This window comes from Homo sapiens, chromosome 7, assembly GCF_000001405.40.
Source record: "Homo sapiens chromosome 7, GRCh38.p14 Primary Assembly".
In the NCBI taxonomy this organism is placed as follows: domain Eukaryota; kingdom Metazoa; phylum Chordata; class Mammalia; order Primates; family Hominidae; genus Homo; species Homo sapiens.
In genome coordinates this window covers 6569538-6577453 of record NC_000007.14, presented here as the reverse complement: position 1 = coordinate 6577453, position 7916 = coordinate 6569538, and positions in this window count along the sequence as shown.

The window sequence follows — 7916 nt, the reverse complement described above, 5'->3', positions numbered from 1 at the left end:
TCCTGCGGGCTCGTGACATCAGCACGGCGCCCCTGAGGGGCTGACTTCCGGCGGAAGTGTGCGAGGGCCGCCGCGGGTTGCGGGGCTGGAGTAACAGTGACCTCCCCGGCGCCCTCGCAGCCAGCCTGGGGACCTCCGTGGCCGGGTGTAACCGCTGGGAAGTGCGATTTTATTTTATTTTATTTTATTTTATTTTATTTTATTTTATTTTATTTTATTTTATTTTATTTATTTTATTTTATTTATTTTATTTTATTTATTTTATTTTATTTATTTTATTTTATTTATTTTATTTTATTTTATTTTATTTTATTTTATTTTATTTTATTTATTTTATTTTATGTATTACCTATTTTCTTATTTACTTATGTATTCGTTCATTCATTCAGAAACAGCCTCGCTCTGTCGCCCAAGCCGGAGTGCAATGGCGCTATCCTAGCACACTACAACCTCCAACTCCTGGGCTCAAGCAATGCCTCCTGCCTCAGCCTCCCAAGTAGCTGGGACCACAGGTGCATGCCACCACACCCGCCTAATTTTTTTTTTTTTTTTTTTTTTTTTGTAGAGACGGGTGTCTCACTATGTTGCCCAAGCTGATCTCGAACTCCCGGGCTCAAGTGATCCTCCCACCTCGGCCTCCCAGAGTGTTGAGATTACAGGCGTGAGTCCCTGCACTGGGCTGGAAGTGGGATTTTAGAGCAGTATTGCCAGGAGACTTACAGGAGGACCGACCTGGGCCTGGTGGGGGCGATCATTCTGGGGCTGTGACAGGGACTAAGCTGCCCTGCGGCCTGCACAGAGACCAGTCATGTCCCTGCTCAGAGCCCAGCAGGGGGATCCAGGTGGCCCAGGGCAGTCACACTTAGGGGGCTCTCAGACTATGTCTGTGTGGTGGACAGAGTTTGCTTTCAGCCACCCACACTGTTGAGATCTAGCAGAACATTTCCAGCATCTTCCGTTGCAGAAGCGGGCAGAAAGCACAATGTGTACCCATCAGTCAGATTCCGCTCCATGTGTGTCCTTGCTCCTGATGACAAGGACATGTTGCTCTGTACAGCCCTAAATATCCTCGGGGCAGTGACAAATACTTGACCACAAACGTTGAGGATAAAAGGGAAGGGTGTTTGATGCTAGGCAGGCTTGGGGTAACAAGAGCTGCTTCCAAACATAGCCCTGAGAAGGCCCTGTGGGGTGTCCTTTGCTCTGACCATCTCTGAATCAGCTGAGGCCAGGGTCTATTCCTGATGCCTCTGAAGACCTGAGCCAGGCCTGTCCTCCTTTGAGGGGAAATGTCTGATCTCCAAACACTGGCCTTAAAGCTCTTCTCTTTTCCTGTCTCTTTGCTACCTACGTCAGCTTCTTGATGCGTTTTCTTTTCCTTTTTATGAAACTCCTTACCAACAGGATGCCTTCTCCTGTGTACATTGTATCCAAGGTCTTCATAAATTTATGGACCCAGAATTGAAAAACCAAGGCTCATACCTATAATTCCAGCACTTCAGGAGGCCGAGGTGGGAGGATCGCTTGAGCCCAGGAGTTTGGGAACAGTCTGGGCAACATATGGAGACCTTGTCTCTACAAAAAATTTAAAAATTAGCCGGGTGTGCTGGCATGCACATGTGGTCCCAGCTACTTAGGAAGCTGAGGTGGGAGGATTGTTTGAGCCCAGGAGGTCAAGGCTGCAGTGCGTTAGGATCACACCACTGCATTCCAGCCTGGACCACAAAACAAGACCCTGGTTCAGAAAAAAAAAAAAAAAAAGATTAATCTCTCAGCACTTGGTCAGTTCCTGAAACCTAGGCATGTTTGATTTTTTGCCTCTTTAAAACATCCAAGCGCAAACCTTGACACCTGCATTTTATAAATAGCATAAGAGAAAACAGACTACTTAAGCTTAAAACCAAAAATTCAAGTGTGATCAAAAGGATTGCCTTGCTTGTGATGCATGGAGCAAAGAATTCCTCTTTGGAGTGTTGCTAAACGCTCCTGTCAGCTCCTGAAACTGGACCTGCAGTATCAGTTTTTTACCTGCTGTGAGATCAGTTGACAGGATCAACCAGCTTTACACCACGATCTCTTGTCCCCAAGGGAATGATGGATGCTATACTTTGGAAATGGGATACAGGACTTCGTAGCTACGCTTGCAAAAGGCATATCACACATGATGCTTGTTTACAATCAGTGATTTATTGACCATGAGGAATTTTGCCATGGAGAAATTAAGAAGAAGGAAAGGAACATAAAAGTATTTTTGAACCATGCATAGTGGCTTATACCGGTAATCCCAACACTTTGGGAGGCTGAGGAGGGCTGATCCCTTGAGACCAGGAGTTTAAGACAAGGCTGAGCAACCTAGTGAGACCTCACCGCTACAAAAAAGTTTTCAATTAGTTAGGTGTGGTGGTGTACACCTGTAGTCTCAGCTACTTGGGGAGGCTGAGGCAGGATGAGGCAGGAAGATTGCTTGAGTCCAGGAATTTGAGACTGCAGTGAACCATGACTGTGCCACTGTATTTCAGCTTGGGCAATAGAGCAAGACCCTGTCTCAAAAAAAAAAAAAAAGAAAAGAAAAGAAAAAAAAAAGGACTGGATCTGTGTTGGCTTACTGTTATATCAGTAGCAACTATTTTAGCACCTAGCTCATAGTAGATGCCCAATAAAAATGTATCAACTGAATGAATGAAAGAAAATGATAACTTATATCAGAAGGAAATCTACATCCTTGATATCACTCAAAAAAAATTCCTGTGGCCAGTAGGTGGGGCCACAGTTGTCACTATTAGCTGGCTTGGAGCATACATTATGGGTGCCCAGTTTACACCCAAATTTCCACTTTGCCTTTGCTACTGTAATTGCTGCCCCGTGCCTTTTTTTTTTTTTTTCTTTTTTTTGAGACAGTCTCGCTCTGTTGCCCAGGCTGGAGTGCAGTGGCGGGATCTCAGCTCACTGCAACCTCTGCCTCCTGGGTTCAAGTGATTCTCCTGCCTCAGCCTCCCGAGTATCTGAGACTGCAGGCATGCGCCACCACACTCAGCTAATTTTTGTATTTTTAGTAAAGACAGGGTTTCGTCGTGTTGGCCAGACTAGCCTTGAACACCTGACCTCAGGTGATCCACCTGCCTCAGCCTCACAAAGTGCTGGGATTACAGGTGTGAGCCACCACGCCCAGCCCTCAAAGTAGATTAAACAACAAAAGAGACATCTTGGTCCCTGCCATTGGAATGTCCAGAAATGATGCTGGCTTCAGGAATGACTTGAACCCGCAGCCCAATGGCATGATCAAGAATCAATGTTCTTTTTATCCCTCACTCTGACTGGAAGATCAGCTTCATCTGAAGACCAGCTTTCCTCCTGATGATGGGATGGCCACCAGCCATAGCTGGGGCTTCATGCATCCACACCCACATCCAGTGAAGGGAGAGTGGGGAGGTCTCCCTCCAGGCCCAAGTAGGAGTACTGACATTCAGTGTGATTAAGCTGGCTTGGGTCATAGACTCACCCCTGAACCATGATGCCACCAGGAAAATGGAATGTGGCCTTTGTCTTGGGTAAAACAAGGCCTCCTGCTGAAGCTACAGAGGATCAGTTTCCCCCAAAGCACATGAGTTGCTCAGGTGAGGGGCTGGATTCTGGAAGGATGTGTGGGCCCTACTGGGAAGGTACATGGATGCTGGCCAGGTAGGCAATCAATCAGTGGACATCTAATAAGTGATATCTGGAATGATGCAAGGAATGTGTCAAAAATGTCTCTTCAAATTAAGATTCTACCCAGGGCCGGGCATGGTGGCTTATGCCTGTAATCCCAGCACTTTGGGAGGCCGAGGAGGGCAGATCACGAGGTCAGGAGATCGAGACCATCCTGGCTAACACGGTGAAACCCCGTCTCTACTAAAAACATAAAAAAAAATTAGCCGGGCGAGGTGGTGGGCGCCTGTAGTCCCAGCTACTGGGGAGGCTGAGGCAGGAGAATGGCGTGAACCTGGGAGGCGGAGCTTGCAGTGAGCTGAGATCAAGCCACTGCACTCCAGCCTGGGCGACAGAGCGAGACTCTGTCTCAAAAAAAAAAAAATTCAACCCAGGGCCGGGTGCGGTGGCTCATGCCTGTAATCCCAGCACTTTTGGAGACCTAGGCGGGTGGATCACCTGAGGTCCAGAGTCCGAGACCACCCTGGCCAACATGGAGAAACCCCGTCTCTACTGAAAACACAAAACATTAGCTGGGTGTGGTGGTGGGTGCTTGTAATCCCAGCTACTCGGGAGGCTGAGGCAGGAGCACCGCTTGAACCCGGGAGGCAGAGGTTGCAGTGAGCAGAGATCACGCCACTGCACTCCAGCCTGGGCAACAGAGTGAGACTCCGTCTCAAAAAAAAAAAAAAAATTCAACCCCCGATGAATGAAGGTGCAAGAGTGAGAACATGAGATGCTTGGGGCATGGTAGGAACTTTTGATGCGTGTCCTTCATTTCCCAGACTCAAAGGCAAATCTATTAATACAATTCCTTCCTGGCAGCAATCTCCGGGTGCAGATTCAAGGGAACGTGTTTGCAAAGGAAGGAGAAGGAAATTTTAGCCACAAAGCTGCAGTTACAGTTGTGCAAGGTCACTCAGAATGGATGCAATTCCTTAGGAAGAGCAAGAGTGTATAAGGAGAGAAGAGGCTGAGGCTCTCCAACTTCCTGGGACCAGCAGAAAAAGAGGAGCTGGCAAAGAAAGCCAAGGGAGGATGTCCACAGGAGTAGGAGGAGGCTGGGCACTTTGGGTCATGCCTGTAATCCCAGCACTTTAGGAGGCTGAGGCTGGAGGATCGCTTGGGGCCAAAAGTTTGAGACCAGCCTGAACAACATAGCGAGACCCCATCTCTACAAAAAATTTAAAAATTAGCCAGGCATGGTGGTGCACAGCTGTAGTCTCAGCTGCTCAGGAGACCGAGGTGGGAGGATCGCTTGAGCCCAGGAGGTCAAGCCTGCGGTGAGCTATTATTTCACCACTGCACTGTAGCCTGGGCAATAGGACAAGACTTCGCATCTTTAAAAAAAATGTTTTTCTTTTTGTTTTTGTTTTTTGACACGGAGTCTCGCTCTGTCGCCCAGGCTGGAGTGCAGTGGCGCCATCTCGGCTCACTGCAACCTCTGCCTCCCAGGTTCACGCCATTCTCCTGCCTCAGTCTCCCCAGTAGCTGGGACTACAGGCGCCCACCACCACACCCGGCTAATTTTTTGTACTTTTAGTAGAGACAGGGTTTCACCATGTTAGCCAGGATGGTCTCGATCTCCTGACCTTGTGATCCCCCCGCCTCAGCCTCCCAAAGTGCTGGGATTACAGATGTGAGCCACCGCGCCCGGCCAAAAAAAAATGTTTTTAAATAAACAAAACAAAGCAAAAGAAGTGGGAGGAGAGTCAGGGAAGAGGGGGTAACATGGAAGCCAAAGAGGACGTGCACTACAATCCCCCAGGGAGGCTCTAAGGGTGAGGCCAATGGAAGGAACCTGGAATGAGCCTCCCACAGACTGTGAAATGTCCCCAGGGAATGGCTCTAGTGATCACCGTAGCCCCCCGGGTTCTGATAATTCCTCTGGCCCAGCAAGCCACCAGGGCAGCTCCTCTCCAGAGCTGGCTGGAGATGCTACGTCACTGGATGGAGGCCTCCAGAATAAGGCCTTGGAAGCCGTGCTGCCTGAGACTGCAGTGTCAGAAGGGTTTCTGAACACGAGCTGGAAGCAAGAGGACCAGAGGGAGAGGCATCTGGAATACATAGTGTTGGGTGGTTGTTGCACACACAGACACGGTGAGCTTGCTCATTGCAGTAGCTGGCATGCCTCACCCTGACTGTCACTCTCTCATGATACTCCCAAGAGTGGGTGGAGACTGAAACTGCCTTTGCAAATATGACAGTGAGCGAAATCTGACCTGACTCCATCCTACTTCTAACCTCCAAGCTGCCCTTGGTCATTCCTGGATATCGGCCAAGATAACTATGGGAGGAATTTCGTTTAACTTTTTTTTTTAATTTTTTTTTTTTTTGAGACTGGGTCTCACTTTGTTACCCAAGTTGGATTGCAGTGGCCAGATCATGGCTTACTGCAGCCTCCAACTCTTGGCCTCAAGCAATCCTCCAGCCTCAGCCTCCTGAGTAGCTGGGACTACAGGGAAGTGCCATCATGCATGGATATTTTTTAATTTTTGTAGAGATGGGGTACCTCTATGTTGCTCAGGTTGGTCTCGAACTCCTGGGCTCTGGCGATCCTCCTGCCTCAGCCTCTCAAAGTGCTGGGATTATAGGTGTAAACCAGCTTAGTTCAATTTTTTTTTTTTTTTTTGAGACGGAGTCTCACTCTGTCACCCAGGCTGGAGTCAGTGGCGCGATCTTGGCTCACTGCAACCTCTGCCTCCTGGGTTCAAGCGATTCTCCTGCCTCAGCCTCCCAAGTAGCTGGGACTACAGGTGTGTGCCACCACACCCAGCTAATTTTTTTTTTGTATTTTTAGTAAAGATGGGGTTTCACCATATTGGCCAGGCTGGTCTTGAACTCCTGACCTCGTGATCTGCCCGCCTTGGCATCCCAAAGTGCTGGGATTACAGGTGTGAGCCACCTCACCCAGCCCTAAGTTTAACTTTAAAAAAATGATAAAAGCCCCTTCCCAACAACTAGCCCCTCCTTGTTCATGGACTAAACCACCTTTGTAAAACTAATAAACAACCAAAGATTAGGCTTGTGTGAGGAATATGAACTCTGCTAAAGTGGAGGCCAACTTCAATGACAACCAGCCATTGTTCCAGAAGTCAAAAGATTCATAACCTTCCCAGTTGCTCCTATAGATAACATCACTACTGGAAAACCTAAGATTGGTGTTCAAGGTATCTTTTAGATCCTGTATTGTAATGGACCAGCTGGTGCCACTGTGACTGGTAAAAGGGCTCAGCTGGTCACATGATCCCACCCAGGGACCGGCCCAGCTCAAGAAGATAGCTCCGGGCTGGGCGCAGTGGCTCACGCCTGTAATCCCAGCACTTTGGGAGGCCGAGGAGGGCGGATCACGAGGTCAGGAGATGGAGACCATCCTGGCTAACATGCTGAAACCGCGTCTCTACTAAAAATACAAAAAATTAGCCGGGCGTAGTGGCGGGAACCTGTAATCCCAGCTACTCGGGAGGCTGAGGCAGGAGAATGGCATGAACCTGGGAGGCAGAGCTTGCAGTGAGCCAAGATTATGCCACTGCACTCCAGCCTGGGCGACAGAGCAAGACTCCGTCTCAAAAAAAAAAAAAAAAGAAGGTAGCTCCAGCCCCCTAGGATTTCATCCCCAGTGCAAACAATGAGGATTCCCCATTCCCTAGCCCCCACTCACCAAATTATTCTTACAAAACCCTAGTCTCTGAATTTTCCAGGAGACTGATTTGAGTGATAAACTCCAGTCCTTCCACGTGGCTAGCCTTGCATTAATTAAGCTTTCTTTACTGCAATACCGTTGTCTCAGTAAATTGGCTCTATCTGTGCAGCTGAAAGAAGAGCCAGTCAGGCGATTAGACCATCAAGGGGGAGCATATACAGCTGACCCCAAAGTCATGTTGTCAAATGCATCCTCCTTTGTGTCTCTGAAACCATCACTGCAAAATTATAACTGAGAAAATTATGACAGTCAAAGAAATCAGACCTAACCAATTTTACGCTGTCCTTGTTCATCCTGGGCATAGGCTGAACTAACTTTGGGAAGTAATTCAGTTCATGGTTTGACTCTGAAACAAAACTGATAACAGCCCTTTCCCGAAAAGACCCCCTTCTTTCCTGGGGACCAGTCTGACTTTGCAGGACTAACAGATTAGCTACAAGATTAGAAATGACAGTTTAGGGGCTGTGCAGCCTCTGGCTCCAAGAGTCTGAACCTCCCCAGATTGCTCCTGGGGGTAACATTACTTTTA